A 22,379-nucleotide genomic window follows, 5' to 3' on the forward strand; every position below is an offset into this window, starting at 1 on the left:
AAAAAAGTAGTAGTATGTTAGAAGAGTGTTAAAGGCAGACATAAAAACAGGAAGAAAAGAAAAGTGACATTTTGATAAGTAGATTACAAAATTCTATTTAAAAACAGGCACAAGAACTAAAATGGAATATCTTTTTGGGGCTGAATGGGGTTAGATCAATGATGTGTACACACTTCAAAATATTTCAAGAATACTATATCATTATATTAAAAGTACAATACTAGAATTGTTCTTTATTATAATGATTTGAATTCATCAAGAAAAGGTGAAACTGTGCTCATTATGCCTTAGTTGAAGACATAGTATGAACAAAAGTTTAAGGATAATAGTAAGAATATTAAGGCAAATACAAATAAAAGAATAAGAAAGATTTTCATCTGAAATGGTTAAAAGTTTGCCACCTACGTGATGTGCTTCAGTTATATGGAGAATTAGCATATGCAGAATACTTCAGTCATAAAACATCACAGATGAAAGGGACCATAGAGACTCTCTCTTAACCTACCCCAATTCTTCCAACTGCAGGGTAAAGGAGGTGTTCCTGACTTCAGCTCTGTTATGTTATGATCTACTTATATTTTAACAGTGTAACAGTTATAACTTATTTTGCTCCCACAGGTTTTCCAGCTCAGTTTTAGAGATTCTCTTAGTACTTGTATATACTAAGTTATCAGAAAGAATCCATGTCTTCTGAAATTTAAGGTAGTCAAAAATCATATAGCTAAAGTAGAAAACTAAATAAATAGGTACATAAATAAGTACATCATTTTACAATTAAACACCATATTAAAAAGGTAAAGTAAATTTTTTTTTTTTTTTTGAGACAGTCTTGCTCTGTCACCCAGGCTGGAGTGCAGTGGTGTGATCTCGGCTCACTGCAACCTCCGCCTCCTGGGTTCAAACAATTCTTGTGCCTCTGCCTCCCGAGTAGCTAGGATTACAGGTGTGTGCCACCACATTTGGCTAATTTTTTTTGTATTTTTAGCAGAGATGGGGTTTCATCATGTTGGCCAGGCTGGTCCTGAACTCCTGACCTCAAGTGATCCACCCACATCGGCCTCCCAAAGTGCTGGGATTATAGGCAGAGCCACCATGCCCGGCCAAGTGAAGTAAATTCAAGGGAGTTGATTATTTAGATTTAATATTTATCTTTATAATTAAGAAGTAGAGATATTTTAAAAGAATCATGGAACCAAATTAATTTATCTGAACTGCATTATGAATCCTGAGTTGGCGGGGGTGGGGGTGGGGGCAGCGAGAATAGTTTTATCTCTAACAAAGCAGGAAAATTCAATTCTTCCAAAACAAAAGGAACATTTTACCCTAAAACTGTACAAGATGAGTATCTCTAATCCAAAATTCTAAAATCTGAAATGCTCCCAAATCCGAAACTTTCTGAGCGCCTGCATGACACTCAAAGGAAATGTCCACTGGAACATTTCAAATTTCTGATTTCTAGATTAGGGAAGCTTAATTGGTAAGTATAATGCAAATATTCCATAACCCAAAACACTTCTGGACCCAAGTATTTTGGATAAGGGACACTCAACATGCACTATCTCAAGGGAATCATGGGGATAAAGAGAATCACTACATTTGATGATCACAGCCTAAAAGGATAAAATATGTCTGTTTAGTTTTCATGAAAAATGGGCTCCAAGCTAAGCTACAGTTGGAGAAGAGTAGTTGAATTAAAATATATATATATAAAATAATATTTAAATTGGGGAATGAGAAAGGCACACGAAGAAACTAAATTAATAACAAACTAACAGAAGTACACATTCCAAATTCAACTTTCCAAGCAAGAGATGCAAAGTGGAATACAGGATAACTAATTCATCAAATAGTACATTGTACAAGGGCATATGGAATAAGACATATGACCAGCTTACAATCCAGCAAAGATAAACAGAGGTAAGTACCATAAAAATGGCATGAATGAAGTATTATGGGAATACAGAAAAGGGAAATTTTGCTCAGAACTAAGGGGGACAAAAGATGAAGAAATGTTTTATAGAGAAGGTGACACTTGAACCCCTGGAAACAGGTATAGAAAGATAGATTAAACTCTGACGGTTATGAAAAGAGAAACAAGCAGAAGCAAGTGGAAAGGAAGCATTTCAAGCAAAGGAAAAGGAATATTAGCAACGTCCAGAGGTGAAAAGCCACATACAAATGTTTGGAGAGTATGTTTTCTTACAACCTAGAGTGCATGGAAGGGGTCACTCAGATGTGGGTCTACAAAGCTAGACTGGAATCAGATTACAGAGGAATAAACTAAGGGACTTAATTGTAGGCAGGATGAGATTACTGAGCAAGCACAGGGTTTTAAAGTGGGTTATGACACTTAACCTGATATGTAAGCCTACTAAGCAAGTGACTTCTCTGAGTGAAATAACAATAATTATTGTGGTTTTCTACTGTGTCAACTTGGCTAAGCTAGAATTCTGTTCCCCAGGATCCACTTCCCTGTATGGTCAAAAGTTAGAGCAATCTGTGTGAGACTTGTATGGTGGAAGTCAAGTAACACTCATTACCCTGGTTATGGTTAGAGGAGGTAAGCAACAAAGGCAGTGATGCTGGTAGAGTCCAGCTTGCCCTCATTCTCCCATATACTTGTCATCCAAATTCTTCTTACTCTTGCCCTGGTTACGTCAGGCCCACATACAGATGCAGGAGCACCAGCCCTTCACAGACTTATCCACCACAGTCACAATCTGGCAGGTGACTGTGTCTGGCTTTCTAGATTTCCCTGTATGGCCTGACTTGTCCACCTGTGCCACTGTTTCAGGAGACTTGTCAGTGATTTTCCCTGACCCTCCAACTACCCCTTTTAGGTTCTTCTCCATCTTCTTCCACACTTGTGTATAAAATCATATTTCTATTACAGCCTTTATTCTTTAATACTCATAGTGGTTTTACCTCTCTGAGTTCTGACTAAGACAAAAATGTCTATTCTCAGAGAGTTGATATGGGGATTCAATGAGACTGTATGTAAAGTATCAGATGGTAGTGGGCAAACAGCAGCTGGTTAATAAATACATTATTTTCCTCTTAGTCTGTAGATCAGGGATTATAAGTTGCTAATTTATGGAGGACAACTGGTGTAACTGGCAAATTAAAAACAAAAACTGAAAAGGAGATTAAAATTAAACTCAAAATTCCAGATTGCTGGCTTCCCCCAGGCCAAAAAAATTTTTTTAAAAAATCAATAAATCTACGTTATTTCTGAATAGCATCAACAGGCTGAAGAGGAGAATGACAGTTTTAAAAATATGCAGTTTGAGATACTGAAGTCATATCGAGAAAGATGCCTCGCAAGCAAATGGAAAGAGGGCTATGCAGCACAGAAGTAACAGTGCAGACTGGGAAACACAGTTTTGGGTGCCATCAACACAGAGATAATTAATAAAGAACCATCTGTTAGTTTGTTCAACTATGTGCCAAGCATGTTACAGGTGTAGAGGATACATCAGTTTGTAACATAGGCAAAAAACTCTGTTCTCATGAGGTTTAAGTGAGAAGAAGCAGACAATAAACAAATAGATAAAACATAGGTCGTTTATAAAATAGTAAGTGATGTGGAGAAAGATAAATCTAGAAAGGGGGTTAGAGAATGGGATGTGTATGTGCAGTTGGTTTGCAATTCTATTATAAATACTGCATGTGTATCTGGGTGGTTTGCAATTTTAAATCACGAGCTTGAACCAAGATCTGAAGGATGTGAAAGAAAACCAGGTGTATGCTGGGGGTGGAGGATGATGGAGGAAGATTCTATGTACAATGAACAGCATGTACAAAAGCCTTGAGATTTAGGAAGAACTATTCAGAGAAAAGAAAGCTGAACTGAGGTAAAGAAGTGACAGGAAGAAACAAAGATGGTGAAGGAACCAGAACTAATTCATGAGGAAGTAGGACAAGTGGAATGTGACGTTTTAAGAAAGAAGTGGGGAGGTTAATAGCTCAAATGCTTCAATAAATATAAGATGAGGAATGAGAAAAAGATATTGGATTTGAAATACAGATCACTCATGACTTTCAAAGACAAACTTCCTAAGTTGCTAAAGGCTTACACAGAGAATTACAGAACAAGTCATTTGTGAAGAAAGGTGAATAGTACATTTGGAACACTTTTCCAAAGACAGTAACAATAAAAAAGAAAAAGAGAGAACACAATGACTTGATGGGTTGCCAAACTGCAGGACTACTTTTTAGAAAGAGGTTTCACTTGCTAGTATAGATGGTGATGAGAAGGGGAAAGAAAACTAAACCAAAATCCTTTAGGGTAGTACTTCCCAGCCTATCTAACCTCATAGCACACAAAGAAAATTATAATATTTGGTATTTGTAGGCCATACTGTAATACTGAGGAAGATGCTCCTGGCCGGAGACAACCTTACCAGGGACTCCAGATACCCAGGTCCTGCTTGGTTGTTCCAAAGGCTGAAGGGGCTATACTTTGGTATAATAACCTATTTAAGATATACAAATACACTGTGACACTATGATTAAAAGGCCTTCCTCTAGGGCTTTAGGCCTCAAACCTACCAAGCCAAATTTATAGATAGAAGGAAGATATACGCTTTGGGCATGAACTATAGCCCATCACTGATGATCCTAATGGGTACAGCCTACTCAAGCCATACCAATTCAAAATCATGACTTGTATAACTCAGGAAGATTTTTTCCTGACAGGACCCATTAGACAGTGTCATGTTTGGGCAGCCCCTCTGTTTCATATTCCAGAGAATATAATCCCAATGTCTTGGAAATAATATCAGCTGTCTCACAGGTGAGGTGACTCCTTAGCCAGAGTGTACACTAATACCACCTACAATAGTAAACACCAGATCCTGTCTTCTTAGAAATTCTTAGAGCCGCCAGATTTCCTCTTTGTACAACTATAACTATATCCCTCTTGATCATGTGGTGATGACTAGTAACATAATTGTTATTGCCAGCTCCTCCCACCCTCCATCTCATAGAGACTCAGGCACACACAAAAACTATGGTGTCATAATTATAGTATGGCTTCAGAGGAAACTCCAGGACAGTGTTCTATATACCCCTTAGAGACACATACTCTACAACTACCTAAATTGAAGGAGGGAGTGAAGAGGTGAGAAGAGGAGGAAATACTTGATAGGACAAAATCCCAGAATGTATACAAGGCTATGGGATTAAGGAATATTTGTTAGAAATATCTTTTTATACAGGTTTATGATTTACAAACCACTTTCCCCCATATCTCTTATAATACTAACAACAATCCTAAAGAAAGATGGAATTCTTTCTACTCTGTTGATGAGGAAACCCTCCGAGAAATTACATGAGGAGCCAAGGTCACTCAGTTGGTGTCAGGGCTGAGACAAGAACACTGATCTGTTCTTTCTGCTACATTATGCTAGCAAAGGGATGGAGATAACAAATAATTATATGGAAAACTGCTGTGATGAGGAAGAAAGTGAAATTCACTCAGAGAGTCTCCATGACCTGGCCTTTTTCTTTTTAGAAAAGAAGAATGGAAGCTTATTTATCTCCAAATGGAAATTTCAACTTGAGAGAATTCAGGCTATTGATGTGCTGACACTTAGTGACTATCACATCATTATTCTAGTTCTGCCAAAGTGGAAAAAAACATGAAAGAAAAGACTGTATTAATGTTTGCACTGAATATAAGCTAAGCAGCAAAATGTTTTACAACTATGACTAATAATAATTTTGTTAAGGAAAATAAAAATGTTCATTTCTTCATGAACTTGTGCATTCATATTTAATATTCTATATTTGGTCTAGCCTTTTAGAGTTATGCCAAAGAAAACCTGTTGTTTTCTAATGATAGTGTAAGAAACAATCCCAAGATATTTTCATGCAGATAACACTTGAATAGATTACTAGAAAACATCATATGAACATCCCAGCCTGAATAACACCTGAATGATTACTGACCAAAGAGGCTTCAAATAGACAAAATGGTGTCAAAAGAGAATCAGGAAAGTGACAAAGAAGAAAATTATGCTGCACCAAGGGTTGAGAAAAACTTCTGAGGTTCTCCATACTGAAGACACCAAGATGTTGTCTAAGGGAACAAAAGAAACTACATGTTCACTTATTTAAGATGTCTTACCATGAGATTCAAGTCCAGCTCCCTGTGCCAGTCCATTGTCATAGGACTGAAAAAGAAAAACATTGTTCAGTTTAATAGGGAAATAATAATAATAATAAATGAATAAATAAGTTGCCAATGAACTAAGTTTTTTAGGTCTCTTTAAATTTTATTTCTCCTTTACATCTTCCAAAATATGCGTTTTTCCCCATGGAGAAGTAGAATTAGGCATTTTCAAATACCTGATTTTCTCTTCTTATTCACCAAGCCAAATCACTAAATGCATACACTAGGCACATTCTGAGAATAGATTATTCAAAGTTATCTACATATTCAATCCCTACTCAATAAAAGCTCCAAACCTTACTCCTTTACCATTGCAAGTATACGTGAGCTGGAGGAAAATGTAAGGATTTCATACTGATAGAACATTATAAACATGAAACAAGTCTATTCTGAGGCAGTCTGGGGTCACTGAGAATAATGGTAGCCATTATTGGGTACCATTATTTGAATCTCCCCACATACACTCCAAAATCAAAACAGAAGAAGAACAATAAAACTTTGAAATCTCAAATCTTAGCAAAGCAAGAAGACACACTCAAGCTTCAGATTACCTGTCTACAGAAAAAGAAACATCAAATCCCAGCAAGCCGTCTATTGCAACTCTACACACCTTTGCAGAGAGCAAGGGTGATTTATGAAAAATCATGAGAGGAGGGGAGCTAACAGTAGTTCTGAGATTGATCTAAAATCACTGCCTAAGAGAAAGTCCACCCTAAATATGAGAAATACAGGCAGTTCTCACTTTGCACAGTTCTCTTATGCACACATTCCAGTTGCCATGGTTTAGCTAAATAACACAACAAACTTCAGTAACCACAGCAGCATATTAACCATAATTGCAAAAAGTACAAAACTCCGTTGCTGGCTCTTCACTCTGCAAATCACTACATAAATAACACATGTGCATCGCGATCAGTGATCAATCATACCACCTTTTTCAAAGTCTGTTAGGAATTGGTCATTGCTCATGTTATTCAGTTCACACACAGATAGCAGACTGTGGTTGTGTTCTTTGTCTCTCAGTGATAAACCCACATGATGTTTTATTAAAAGGCATAACAGAAAGAGGGGCTTGGCCAACAAAGATGAAAGTGCAGTAAAGAAATAAAAAGCATTAACACTGGGTATGAACTTAAAATTAGAGTTATAGAAGAAACAGCTATTACGGGAATGTTGATAATATTGCTGTTTGAGACTCTAGGTATACCACCAGAAGAACTAAGTGAAGGTGAAACATCTATAAGCAAGGGAAGAGCTTGTGATAAAAAAAGAGGAAGATGTTCTAGGGAACTGCTATGGGCAAAAAAACTTCACATAAAAGGAATTCTCAGCGACTTCACAACACTGAAAACACAAAACACACAACGTTGGAAGCTGATAGAAACTTAGATTGTGGTCATTTGCCAAGACACAGAAAAAATACTCCATCTTATAATTTATATAATGAGAAGAAGGCAATATTCACAATATTTCTAATGTTTTAAATTATAGTATACCATATACTGATTTTACTATTTAAAACATCATAGTATACTATATACTGATTTTACTATTTAAAACATCATACATTTATAACTGACAGGAAGAGTTTTCAAAGTTTTGGCAAAAATTTTAAAGGTCATAAAACAATCATAATTTTTCCCATTGATGATTAAAATCACCTTGTATCATTTCAGCTTGTGTGGTTATCATTATAGTATGGCACTGTCATGCAAAATGAGGATAGCCTGTTCAGAAAGAGGCCTGGTAAACACAGCACTGGCTATATGGAAGGCACTTAAAAGAATGTGCAAGTCAAAGTGGCAGGGCTCAAAGAGTGTAAATTTTGGTGAAGAAAGTTAAAAAAGGAGGGAGAAGCCCTTTGAAAATCAGGTGATAAAGGAAAGCTCAAAAAAGCAAAATTTAGATACCTGAGAAACAAAAGAGAACCTTTTTCCTATCAGAAAAATCATAGAACAACCCCAGCTACAAAAAAAGCCACCCAGTAAAGAAAGCATACTGCATTACAATGAAGAGAACAATCTTAAACTAGGAATTCTTATCAGAAAAAATAAAAATCACTAACATACAAAGTAACTCTGAGATGAAAATACAGCAAATGAAACGCTAACACCTAAGTATATGAAAATCTGCCTCTACTCCCAAGAAATAGGCATGAATCAGAAGAAAACTGTAATGTAGCACTCCACACTCAAATACATACCCTCAAACAACCATTTGGAAATAAAAAACGAAATTAAAAGCTAAAAACAGATGAACAAACAATAGAAATAAAAAGAGAAATAGTGTTAGAAAAGAAATAGAAGAAAAAGACAAAATAAGAAATAAATTTTAAATTACAGGATGACTAAGGAAGAATAATCTCAAATGAAAATACAAGGGACACTGAAAAAAGGAGAAAACATCCAAGAGAATAAAAATGAGATAAGTCAAAAAGGTCAAAGAGAAAGTGGCTGAAAAGAAGGTCAGGCAAAAAAATAAGAACAGACACTAAAATGGAATTCCTAAAAAGAAAAAAAAGAAGGAAAAAAAAAAAAAGCAAATGCAAAATAATGGACTAGAACTAGGGGTCAGCAATGGCCCAAAGGCTAACTCTGGCCTGCAGTCTGGATTTGTATGGCCCTCGAGTTAAGAAAATGGTCAATTACACTCATAATAAAAGAAATAATAAAATGAAAAATCATGAGAGGAGGGCAGCAAAATTAAAAATATACTGAAATATCACTTTTCGACTACCAGAAAAAAAGGTAAAAACAAAAAAAGTATAACGCTTTTTATTGGTGAGGCTATGTGAAAACAGGCACTCTCTTATATTGGTAGGAAAACAAACTGGTCTATCCTTTTTGGAGAGAAAATGGGCAATCTCTAATAAAATTACATATGCATTTACCTTTTGATCAGGCAATTCCACTACCAGAAATTTACCCTGAAGATGTATCTATAACAATATAGAAATATATATGCAGGAAGTTATTAATTACAGCATTATTTGTAATTGCAAAATATATGCTCTAAATGTAGAATAGCTGAAAAAAACCATGGTACATCTGCACATCCACACAGTGGAGTAATATAATAGGAAACTATAAGAAAAAGAGAAAAATCTCTCTGAACTGATAAGGAGTAATTTTCACATTGTATTGGTGTTTTTTTTTTTCTCCCAAGCTATATTGTTAAGTGAAAAAAGCAAACAGCAAAAAAAAAAAGAATATGGTATGCTACCTTATGAAGAAAGGAAAAGCATTAAAAATATCCATATCTTCTCATCAATAAGAAATGTAAGAAAGATAAACTGAAAACTAACGAGAATAGTTACCTACAGGGTGACAGGGAACAAGATGTTAAGTATGGGAGTTAAGAAGAGGGGGGAATACAGGGAGGGTGAGGGGCAAGGAGTCACACTTCTCTGTATATATCTTTTTGTATAGTTCTGACCTTAAGAACCAAATTAGTTTTTCACATATTAAGTAAATAAATAAAGTCAACGAAGTTGTGGGCAGGAGAGAGCTAAGTGAAGGAAAAGCCTAAAATGGAATTCAAAGAGAAACAAATAACCTAATGGTACTTCAAACAGATAACATAACCATATTAAAGGGGGGAAATAAAATAAGTAACTGGAGTACTTCTTAAATATAGTACTTTGACTATATGCCCTCAGACTCAAAACAAAAAGAACCAATGTATTCTGGGTAATAGGAGCCAGGACTGCTTGTCACTATCAGAAATGGAGTCATAAATGAAAGGACGAAAGTTAAAATGAGCCCTGTGGTGTTAAGACTGAAATTTGAGGCATCACGATAGATTCATGATTTTAATATATAGACATATAAATAGATACAGAAATATAGATTCTGTGTGTCTGTAAGGGGATGCCTATGTACACATACATTTCCTATCTCTGCCCGAGAAAAGGCCTAGAAGTAATGACATCGCAATACCAATGAGCATACTTAGTACCCAGATTCTAGTTTCTAAACCCTATCCTCCAACAAGAATAACCAAGGCTCCTCAAAGAAATGACTGATTCCAGAGCTGAGGATGGAAAAGTAGAAGATAAACCTGGAATATCTTGTGCCAGAAAGCAAGGAGGTCTTCAAAGAATGAGGGTAACATGTCAAAAGGGCATAGAGCCTACTAAAAGGGGTTCCACAGGCCTAATCTAGGACAATCTGAGCATCAAAATAATGACAGTAACAGATTACAACCCACTGAATAAAATAAGAAACTGAAGTCCATAGAGATATAAATAAGTAAGTATAAGTAAATAAATAAATGCAGAGAGAAAGTTTTTTTCAAACAGTAGAATTTTAACTGATATTTATAGGAAGGATGCTAGAGCTGGAAAATCATCAATGCATACTAACAACACTATTGGATAAAAATTTGATTAGGGACTCACTGAATATTTAGTCTCCAGGTATCTCACCACAAGATATTCGGTAATTACAAAGGGAAAAACACTAACTTTACAGAGAAAACTCTGGCATATGCCACCTTAACCAAGTGAGCAGACACAGGGCAAATCAACTTGCTGCACCTCCAAATACAGTGCACTGAGAAGACAGTATTACTTCTGTACTATTCATACCAAAAATTCTTATCACCCACCCTCCTATCAAACATAAATCTCTTTTCCTCTTAAAACTCCTTTAATGGTATCTTCTTTCTGTATCCAGAGGCTTTTTAAAATTTGGGCTGTTGTGGAATCTACAAAAATATGATCCACTGTTACACACTCACTTAAATGCAACTCCATTCTTCTTAGGAACTCACAGGCATTTTCATTTTGAAATATTGCCTATGAAAAGTTGAATTAACAGCCTAAAATATTCTAACAGCCTCAAAATAATCTATAAAATGAAAAACTTCATATTTGGGAAATAATAAACCTGGAATGCAGAAGTTTTATTTCTCCTTTTATACAGAGATGACACAGTAGAGCAAAGGATAGTTCTGGCTAAGACTAAGCTTTCCTTACTAATGCCAATAAAAAGATGAGAGAAATAGTCTCACCAAAGATAACATAATCTTCCAGTTTGCGTGTCAGGACTCTCTACTAACTCCTGCTAGAATAGGCTGTCAATATTCGACTTTCAGATTTTACTTATTTTTCTTTTAAGTCAACCAATCCCTTTCTTATAAAGATACTGCTTCTTTAAATAAAATCATATTAAATTTTAATGGCCAAGGAGTCAATCTGCACTTTAAGATTATTTCTTTATTGTGTTCTGATACACAATTTACCAAAAAGCAATCTTAATGCTCTTATTTACAAATTGTTGGCGGAAGAGATGAGACATACACTATAATACAGCCCTCATGTACCAGCAAAAACAACCTAAATAGTCAATTTTATCAACAGAACTCACCATACTCCTTCTAATATAGGTGATGGCTTTTTTCATATCCATGCCTGACCAGTTGTTGAGCATATAGCAAATACAGGAAGCACAGTACACAAATCGCATGTCATTTTCACTGCCTTCAGGTACTGCACAAAAACTGAAAATAATAACAACAATATGATTTTCTATTAACACTGGACTCTGATTTTTTTGCATGGGGGTTAGAAACACCTCCTGCTTGTCTTTACTAACAGAAAAATCTGTTGATTATTCTACTTTTATTATTCAATATTCTACTTTTATTATTCAATAAAGAATAAGACTACTAACTTGAATAATATAAAACTTTCTCTAAATCATCATTCTACTACAAACTTTTGACTTCTTGGTATTTTTACACACTACCATGTTACTCCCTCCTGGATGCTTACTCAGCATAAGCTTATTTGATCCTAGCCAGGGACAGCTGCAGTATACTGGCTTGAGAATGGCAGAAAAAGTAAAAGGTAAAACCTGAGACCTACTGGGTATACGAAATTTCCAAGCCCAAGTTTTTCTATGTGAAATTTCTTCTAAATGTATACACAGATAACCATTTAATCGATTGATCATATTGTATTTTAATTTTACATATTAGTTGTAGAGAGGCAGCAATCTATGTTGTGTATGTATTTATAAACAAGAATAAGGAAGCAATAATCAAAGACTACACTGAAATATTGAGACATAAGTCATATATGTACTGGATGAAGTAAATATTTAGTTTCATAGGGTTTCCAATTAATGTCAATTTATTCTACTTGTCTACATTTATTTTTCCCTCATCAAGAGCAGTGTTTTGAAAACACTGACGGGAAAACAGAGCTATTAGTAGATGGAGCACAAAGAGTTAACAGCACAGCAGGATTTGTTTGCAGTCTTTTCCTTAATCTTTTCACTACTGCTTTATCGCTTCTCAGACTTAAAATTTTTTTTCTACCTTAAAGCTCCAGGAAGATTCATCTTTAGACACACTATGTGAATCACCAAATATCAATGAACATACGAACTCCTTTTTCTATCCTTTAAAAATGTCATGGAAACTACCTACTCTGGAATACAATATTCAGTGTTCACCCCTTTCTTCCCTAATCACCATAAAGCAAGGAACTGAGGTCCAGACTAAATGTATGCGTACTTCAAAATATCAATTTTTCATCTAGAATGTAAATTAGATTCCAATCCTGAAATTATTCAACCATTTATTTATGTACCCATTGTTATTAAGAAGGAAGATAAAGGTGTTTGGCTATTGTAATTACTATTATTTTCACTCACAGAGGAAATCTGAGGTCACTTTTTTGACTATGCACTTAATTATGTACCTCGTAAGCTTTAGGTGGGGTTCTAATAGAGTATGATCCTCTAAAGATCTAGTATAGTACTGTATCCATTTTTTAGTTCCAATATATTTTTGTTTATTACAAAAAAAGTAACAAAGAATCACTCATACCTCCCATCTTCCAGCTGAAGGGCTCTCAAGCCCGCTAAGCAAGCTTCTTTATTTACTCGGCTTAAGTCGTCTCCAAGAATAACTAAGCATGAGAGGCCAGTGTAGGTCATTGCAATGTGGCCACTATCATAAGGATGAGCTGTTCCAGGAGCCTAAATACAAAATTAATATAGTACTAATTAATGAAGTGAAATGAAAACTTATTTCATTAAGAAATCTGACATAAGGTTTTAGTAAATAGTAAAATTAAATATGGCTTATACTGATTTGTATAGACATCTTATTGAGAAAAACAAATCTCCATTTTATGTATGTCTCAATATGAATATGATTGCACAGGCTACTTAATCTTTAAATTCTTTGATACCTCAGGCATTATGGAAGTAGTTATGATATTCAGGTAAAGCAAATTATGTATTACTTATTTTTTTGGATTTTTTTTTTTTTTTTTTTTTTTTTTTTTTAGTAACAGGGTCTTATCTGTCACCCAGGCTGGACTGTAGTGGTGCAATCATAGCTCACTGCAGTCTCCAACTCCTGGGCTCAAGTGATTCTCCGGCCTCAGCCTCCAGAGTAGCTGGGACTACAACAGGCACAAACCACCATGCCTGGCTAAATTATTTAAACCTCAAACTTAATCACGCTATCACTTATAATTTAAGTCTTATAAAGTCAGAAAAGCATATAGCCTTCCAGAAAAAAAGATTTCTAAAACAAAACTTATTTTATATAGCACAAATCTAAATGAAATACCACAGTAGTGATCACCATATAAGAAACTAAAAAACGATACAATTAAAATAAACTCTTCTGCCTTCTATAATAAATGTAAACTTTTACAATCATTGAAATGCATAAAATCCTGGTTCTATTTCTCACTGGCTTGCTTAATGTTCCTAATCCTAGAAAATGAAGATATTAGTACATCACAAGGTTATTGTGACGATTAAGTAAGTTACTGTCTAAAAAGCTGTTACTTATCTTAATGGTGACTAAGTGCAAGGCAAATATCAGACGGACCACTAGTTCTTTGGAGTCAAGATCCAAGGGTCTTGAAACCACCCATGAATCGTAAGATTTTCTTGCATACTTACCTTCTATGGTTCCTCACAGAATGAATTTGAATGGTGTTCACTACCCTTTTTATAATAATCTGAACCCACCCCACCTACCCACCTTTAGATACACATTTTTTTTTTTGAGATAGGCTTTGCTCCGTCACCCAGGCTGGAGTGCAGTGGCACAATCTCGCTCACTGCAACCTCCGCCTCCAAGGCTCAAGCAATCCTCCTGCCCTGCCTCAGCCTCCCAGGTAGCCGAGACTACAGGCACCTGCCACCACATCCAGCTAATTTTTGTATTTTATGTACAGAACAGGTTTTTCCCATGTTGCCCAGGCTGGTCTCAAACTCCTGAGATCAAGTGATCCATCCTCCTCATCCTCCCAAAGTGCTGGGATTGCAGGTGTGAGCCACTGTGCCTGGCCAGATATGCAGTTCTTTATATGGTCTCACAAATGTACCAAGCAAATTTCCATCTTTATGTCTTTCATTCTAAGTTCCTCCTTAGAACTCAAGCTCTAGTTCTCCTGGCTATCCTATTCCACATTTACAACTGACTTCTTAGAATTCCTATTGCATATTTAACTTTTTGATACTTAAAGTAAATACCTGCTATGTTAAAACAACTGCATGGAAGCCAAACATAAATTAAATGTGGTCCTTAACCTTAAGAGCAGAAGATAAGTCTACTCAAATAATTACAATAGAATGTAATGAGTAGTCATAAGGGAGGGATAATAATAACATGGGTTTAAATAGGAATTCTTTTCTGCAGAAGAGGAGCCTGGGCAGGTATAGATGAAGAGGAGGTATTACAGGTAGAAGAAAAAGTAAACGCAAATTAGAGAAGGATAATTCTGGGGTGCACATTAAGGACAACACAAAATTTGCTAGAGAGCATGGGATTTGTGAAAGGAAATTGTGACAATAGTGGGAGGATCCATCAGTGTTTCTCAAAAAGTGCTCTACAGCCATTGAAGGTCCCAAGCATTTATCAGGTAAGTCAGTGAATGGTCCATAGGTAGTTTGGTGGCTTCAGAAGAAAACTCAGTGACAATATTTTATTCATATACTGTACTGGACAATCTAATGTGCCTCCTCACATTCTCTTGGCCTAATCTGTCTCCTAGACGCTCAGTCACCACTCTCAGTGACGGTTCTATGTGATACCACTTGGAATATCTAGTTCCTTTTACCACCCAGAATTCAGATGAAGGTAATACAGCATGAAGTGAGACCTAGCTTGCCCAGAAGATATCAGGGTGCAGGTGAATGAAGGTCCAAAAAGGAGTTTCAGGAGACTCTGTGAACCAAGGGCAATAATGGTTTTTTCTTCAATTTTACTCCTGTTATTTTGAAAATGTTTTGGTGCAGGCGTTGGTTGGGGGAAGGATCATATTTTAAAAGTAATGTTATTAAAGCACTGTAACAAATATAGGTAGACATCTATATATAGTATAGTACTATATAACGGTCATCATAACTAGTGGCACGATATTCTGTTCATTATGACTAAATGAAGACATTACCTGTATTCTGGATTAGCTTAAGGTGGAAAATATGATAGGCATGAAAAGGGACAAATTTTCTGAATCCTTTGTTTTCTCATTCCCTGCTAAATGCAGTGGGCACCCATAATTGGAGTCCTGCTGGTAAATTCATATGACCTTGACACAGGCAAGCTGGTTTACAGCTTAAGGCAGAGGAAGAAAGCTGAAGTAGTACCTCTATCAAAGTATGTCATCTTCTTCAACATTACTGCTATTTATTCCAAAAATTTGAAGCTGATTACGGAAAAACTGGTAGCTCTCCACTTACCTTGCAAGTGGATACTCAGCCCAACAAGATACTGGCTTATAACCATTACATAAGCAGGCTGGCCCCATCAGGGAAAAAGTTTCTATGGTGTGAGGCCGCTTTAGAAAAAATGATGCTTTTCTCCACTTTCTACTGTAGAAAAATACTTGTATTTTGTGTACATATGGAACACCTACAAAGTTTCTTCTGGGTCTGCTCCTTTGAAGAAGAAATAAAGCTCCTCCCTCTGTTAGGACTCACTGTTTTTATATTGGCATGTGCTGGTATCAAGGCCTTTGGATATAACCATGAAGAAGTTCTGCATATTCTAATAAAAGTCATTAAAATAATCACTACCTAGGTCTTCAATCACTGCCTTTAGAAGGGCTTTTTCTTTTATTCCTAAGAAATGTGAGCTAAATGTAGAGTCTTTCTATAAACACAACAAAGTTTACTGGCTTCTTACACAGCAGGTATCAAAACACTTCAGTGCTCTGTTTTCCTTTACTCAGGAAATCACCAATAACTTTTACACACAGATGTATGATACTGAGACAATTTTTTGTAACAATTAATAGAAATTTGTGTGTGTTTATGTACTGCATGTATTCTTCCCGGAAGAAAGTGCACTTCTTTGAGGAAGTAAAGTAGGTATAGGTTTCCTTTAAAGGATTTCAGTTTATAATATATATATATTATTAGACAACATTTAGCCACATTGAAATCTGGAAGCCTGTTTTTTTCTGTGTAACTTCTTAGTTTTCTCTTTTATTAAAATATCCCTACATCCCTTCTACTTCCTTCTGAACCAAATAGAACCAACCTTTGATGGATTGAACGGAATACCCAGGTATGAAGAGCCTCGGAAACCACAGCGATTTAGATTTGATCCTAGAAAATAAAAGCATGTGCTTATTTAAAGTACACTTTATTTTTGCACAGATTCTAAAGCAGTTTAATTACACAATCTTTCAGAAACAGACTATTTTAGTCTCCATTTTCATACTGGCTAATGCTGAATGCTTACCATGTGCCAGGTCCATTCTAGGTGCTTATGGGAATTTCCTCATTTAATTTCCATATGAGTCACAAAAAACATAATTATTTCTATCATGTACCTTTTTTTAATAGCCCACCTCACTGCCTATACAGTCCTTTCATACTTCTCCTGTCAGATCAATTTTTATGTGATCAACATGTTCAATCCCCCTTTCTACAGAACAGAAAACAGAAGCCCAGAGGTTAAGTGATTGTTCAAGGTAACGGTTAATAACACAATAGGGTCTACTGTCTTTTTACTTTAACTCATTTAGTGTGTTTTTACTTTAACTCATTGCTTCTTTACATGGGAGCAAACTAAAGGTTTAAAGCTGAAGAGAAAATATGTACTTTGTATTTCCACATTAGCTAGACCTTCGTTCTGAGTCCAGTAATCCACTTGGCTTTGAAGTATGTAGAACACTGTAAGTTAGCACTTAGTCTCTCTCTACTCAATCAAAATATGTTTATCCATACTTTTTTTCTATCTAAAAATTTTCATTTCTCAAGATATCAATGGAATATAAGTTGGGAACTTGAAAGAACAATCAACTATACAACAATTATGGTTTTAATAGCTATTAGAAAATCAGTATGATAGATGCAGAAAATAACAATGCAGTATCAGCAGACTGTAAATGCACCGCTGATAAAAAAAAATCGAGTTGGTCTAAAAATAGTCTCTGATATGAAGAACTACCTTCATAAGAGATTATGACTAGTGTATGACTAACTTCATTATTAACTGTTTTCACTCTCCTACTTCTGCATTAGGTACTATATTTTTTCAGCTTCTTATCCCCCCAAAAAACTTAAAATAGTAGCTTATACATTAATTCTTTGAACAAATTAGGAACCACTAAATTTAAACTCTCCACCAATTATCATCTCCCTACTGGCGAAAAATGTATTTTAAAAAGATACTAGCAGCCAGGTGTGGTAGCTCACGCCTATAATCCCAGCACTTGGGGAGGAGGCAGAGGAGGGCGGATCACCTGAGGTCAGGAGTTCCAGACCAGCCTGGTCAACATGGTAAAACCACATCTATACTAATAATACAAAACTTAGATGGGTGTAGTGGCACCTGCCTGTAATCCCAGCTACTGGGGAAGCTGAGGCAAGAGAATTGCTTGAACCCGGGAGGTGGAGGTTGCAATGAGCCAAAATCGTGCCACTGCACTCCAGCCTGGGCGACAGAGTCAAACTGTCTTGAAAAAAAAAAAAGATACTAATGGTGATTATGATTTCAGTGATTATGGTTCTCTTATCCTAAGGACTTTTAAATTGGTAAGCTACTTAAAACTTGCCAATATATAACAGAAGTTATAAAAACACTCATATCCTTTTGACCCAGTCAAATTATGGTTCTCTTATCCTAAGGACTTTTAAATTGGTAAGCTACTTAAAACTTGCCAATATATAACAGAAGTTATAAAAACACTCATAACCTTTTGACCTAGTCATGATATATCTGAGAATCAATTCCAATAATTTCAAGTATGAGAAGAAATGCACACTGCAGTTTAATAATAGTGAAAATCTAGAAGCACCATAAAAGTCCAGCAGGTTAAGCATATCATGCCTCATGTACTGAAAGAAACGCTATATTCCTATTAAAAATAATAATCAGTAGAACTATGTAGCAACACAGAGAAATGTATTTGATCAAGTTAAGCAAAAAAGTAGGATCCAAAAATAAATGTGCATTTTTATGTTTATAATTAAGCAAATGGCACATATCAACAAAGACTGGAAGGGAATAAACAAAATAATATGAATGGTGTGAGATGATATGAATAAGGCTGAAATTTGTTCTCTGTATTAGTCACTGTTGCCATAACATATTACCACAAACTTGGCAACTTAAAACACCTACTGCCTTACTGTTTGTAAGGTCAGAAGTCTAACACAGGCATCATCAGGCTAAAGTTAAGGTGTAGGCAGGGCTACCTTCCTTACTTGGAGGCTTTGGGGGAACAATCTGCCTCCAAGCTCATTCAGGATGCTGGCAGAATCAACTTCCTTGCAGTTGTGTGACTGAGTTCTCCATTTCTTTGCTGGTAGGTATCCCTTTTTGCTCCTAGATCCTCTCTTGCCATTTCTCATATATGGGCCCCATATCTCAGAGTGGCAACGGCACTCAAATCTTTTCCATTAGACCCTCTCTACCTTCTCTTCTCTCTTCTGCTCCCTTTCTCTGCAATTCCATGACGAACGTTTCTGTGTTCGTCTGCTGTTCATGTGATTATACTGAGCCCACCTGTACACATGTCACCTATGGATAAGCTCCACATTTTAAGGTCAGTTGATTAGTATAACTTTAACTCCCATCTACACAGTCCCTTCACAGCAGTACCCAGATTAGTATTTGACTGAATTAACAGGGAACAGAAATCCTGGGGCAACATCTTTAGAATTCTACCTAACACAGGTTGGGCGCGGTGGCTCATGCCTGTAATCCCAGCACTTTGGGAGGCCGAGACGGGCGGATCACGAGGTCAGGAGATCAAGACCATCCTGGCTAACACAGTGAAACCCCGTCTCTACTAAAAATACAAAAAATTAGCTGGGCGCGGTGGCGGGCGCCTGTAGTCCCAGCTACTCGGGAGGCTGAGGCAGGAAAATGGCATGAACCCGGGAGGCGGAGCTTGCAGTGAGCTAAGATCGGGCCACTGCACTCCAGCCTGGGCAACAGAGCGAGACTCTGTCTCACAAAAAAAAAAAAAAAAAAAAAAAAAGGATTCTACCTAACACACCCCCCATATTCCAAATTGTACATAATGCTATACTTAAAAAAAAAATAAAAAGTTATCTTTCTCTTACCAAGTTATGAATTCATTTATCCTTTTTATTTTTGAGACAGAGTCTTGCTCTGTTGCCCAGGCTGGACTGCAGGGGCATGATCTCGGCTCACTGCAACCTTGCCTCGCAGGCACAAGCAATTCTCCTGCCTCAGCCTCCCAAATAGCTAGGACTACAGGCATGAGCTACCACGCCCAGCTAATTTTTGTATTTTTAGTAGAGACGGGGTTTCATCGTGTTGGCCAGGCTGGTCTCGAATTCCTGACCTCAAGTGATCTGCCTGTCTTGGCCTCCCAAAGTACTGGGATTACAGGCAGGAGCCCACCGCACCCAGCCTATCCTTTTATCATCACTTCTTTTAATCCTTCTCTAGTTGGATGAGGGGCAGTATCAAAAGGCGTATTTTCCTATATGATTAAAACATTTTTAAATCTTTTTTTTTCTCTTTTTGTTCTTGGGATTGTCTTTTTTAAAGGGTATCCTTTCAAGTTACTAATCTGCTAACAGTCCTCCATAAAAATGTGATCCCATTTCTACTTTTGATGGAAGACAGCTCTGATACCATCTGTCAGTTCTGCATTTATACTTGCAACTGGACACCTTTGTTGAGTACCCCACCAACTTAAACAATTCTGTCAGGTGTTTTACATAGAGGCAGACATATAGTAGTGGCTCAATAAAATATCTGCTTCTGAGTGAAATAAATGAATTTATTCATCTTCTTAGAGGTGAATCAGTAAATGACATTTCTGTTTGTTCACTTCTGTTTTTAGCCTGATTAAATAAATAACTTTTCTGAAAAGCAGCAGAAATATCAATACTTAAAAGTACCATATAAGGTTAGGAGATTATGGCATGGACACTTGGAATCAAACTCAGGATCCTATTCTTCCTATCAATGAGTTCTATAGGCAAGTAACAACCTCTCTGAGCCAGTTTCTTCCATTTTTGAACTAGTAACAATAACATATTGCAAGTAATATACTTCAGGCTTCTTGTAAAGGTTAAAGGACATGTTTAGATTGTACTTAGCAAAGTGAAACAAGGCTTAATAAACAGTAACCATTCAAAATCAGTTAATTGTATTTTATCAAAAGTGAAACAGGAAGAAATGAATAGCTTTTGTTGCAATTTATCAAGGAAAGCTTTTTTAAAGTAAAAATGTTTTTCTTTTTTTTTCCAGAAAGACTGTATACTGTCATGAAAAAAGTGTTTGGATCTTAAGCACCACGGTCACAGTATAGGGAAAAGACAATGTAGTATTTTTTGCCTTCTTCTTAATCACCTGTGGACTATGAAACTGGATAAAGAAGTTTATTCTAAAGTTTATACTTTATTCTACAGTAAGAGAATTCTCCTGTTTCTTATGAAAAGCTATGATGAAGTAACTAAGAAATCAAGAAAATTACTCATTTACTAAATTGAGTTATCAGTCACACACTTAAATCCTAATGTTTTAAAAAATGATGCTCATTAGGAGGTAACATTTTCACCACTTAATTTTTCACCACTTAGGCCGGGCGCGGTGGCTCAAGCCTGTCATCCTAGCACTTTGGGAGGCCGAGGTGGGTGGATCACCTGAGGTCAGGAGTTCGAGACCAGCCTGACCAACATGGAGAATTCTACCCCATCTCTACTAAAAGTACTAAAATTAGCCGGGTGTGGTGGAGCACACCTTTAGTCCCAGCTACTTGGGAGGCTGAGGCAGAAGAATTGCTTGAACCCGGGAGGTGGAGGTTGCAGTGAGCCAAGATTGCGCCACTGCACTCCATCCTGGGTGACAGAATGATACTCCATTTCAAAAAAAAAAAAAAAATTCACCACTTAAAAATATTTATTAGGTACTCTTTTGCGGTTTCTGTCAATATTTGTCTGCTCTTGTGTGCTTTCCTTTGGAATTCTAGTAAGCATACCTTTTCATGATAATTAAGAAAGTATACACACACAATTCATTGTAAATTTATCGCTGAATGCATACTCTGGGTACAGTATAAATTTCTTTCCAGGTTATCAAACAGCACCATCTAGTGTTCCTATTTAACAGTTGCAAAACAAACTGAAAATTCTTTGTGTGGTCTGGCTGCCCATCAGAATCAATTGCCTATTTTGAAAAAACAGAGATGCCTCTTGCATCTCCCCTCCCATGCCTGTTAAAAAGCATGAGGATAGGGCCTGGAAAATTGTATTTAAAAAGAAAAACAATCCCGGTTTGACACATAGTCAGAATCAAGAACTACTGATTTGGTAAATATACTTTTGTAGAACTATAGAGTCAAACTTGTTTATGCTGTTTAACATAAGTACTTTAGATAGCACTATATCATAAAAATTGAGGTTACTGAAGAAAAATGAAAACTGGGTAGATGAGAAAGGCAGCAAAAATGGGAGTATGTACATGGATGTAATATGTGTGTGTGTTTATGTGTAAGTATGCAGGAAGTGTGTTATTAGAAAATATAATGTATCTATAGTTATCAACTATAAGGAAGAATAATTCATTTATTTGCACGTTTGTACATGAAAATTTATTAAGCTGACTCTTGCCTGATGACTGAGTCATATGTCACTTTAAAACTTAGTGTTTTACTATTAAGCTCATAAAACCAACTATATGTCAAGCATTGAAAGATAGTACATTTAGATATTCTTTAAAAAACGGTTATAAACTT

General features: G+C 36.2%; 1 protein-coding gene across 4 annotated transcripts in view; it reads right to left on the bottom strand.

The window, feature by feature from the left end:
• Window positions 1-22,379, bottom strand: part of PGGT1B (protein geranylgeranyltransferase type I subunit beta) — a 58,866-nt gene that overhangs the window by 20,834 nt on the left and 15,653 nt on the right. For 3 of the 4 annotated variants that reach the window (XM_011543490.3, XM_005272020.4, NM_005023.4), the window contains exons 3-6: window positions 16,694-16,761; window positions 13,013-13,164; window positions 11,545-11,677; window positions 6,131-6,176 (exon numbers count right to left, since the gene is read on the bottom strand). In XM_011543490.3, coding sequence (XP_011541792.1) covers window positions 6,131-6,176; window positions 11,545-11,677; window positions 13,013-13,164; window positions 16,694-16,761 — 399 coding nt within the window. The remainder of the gene's footprint in view (window positions 1-6,130; window positions 6,177-11,544; window positions 11,678-13,012; window positions 13,165-16,693; window positions 16,762-22,379) is intronic. The other variant, XM_047417314.1, reaches the window with a different exon arrangement.

This window comes from Homo sapiens, chromosome 5 (genome assembly GCF_000001405.40).
Source record: "Homo sapiens chromosome 5, GRCh38.p14 Primary Assembly".
NCBI lineage: Eukaryota > Metazoa > Chordata > Mammalia > Primates > Hominidae > Homo > Homo sapiens.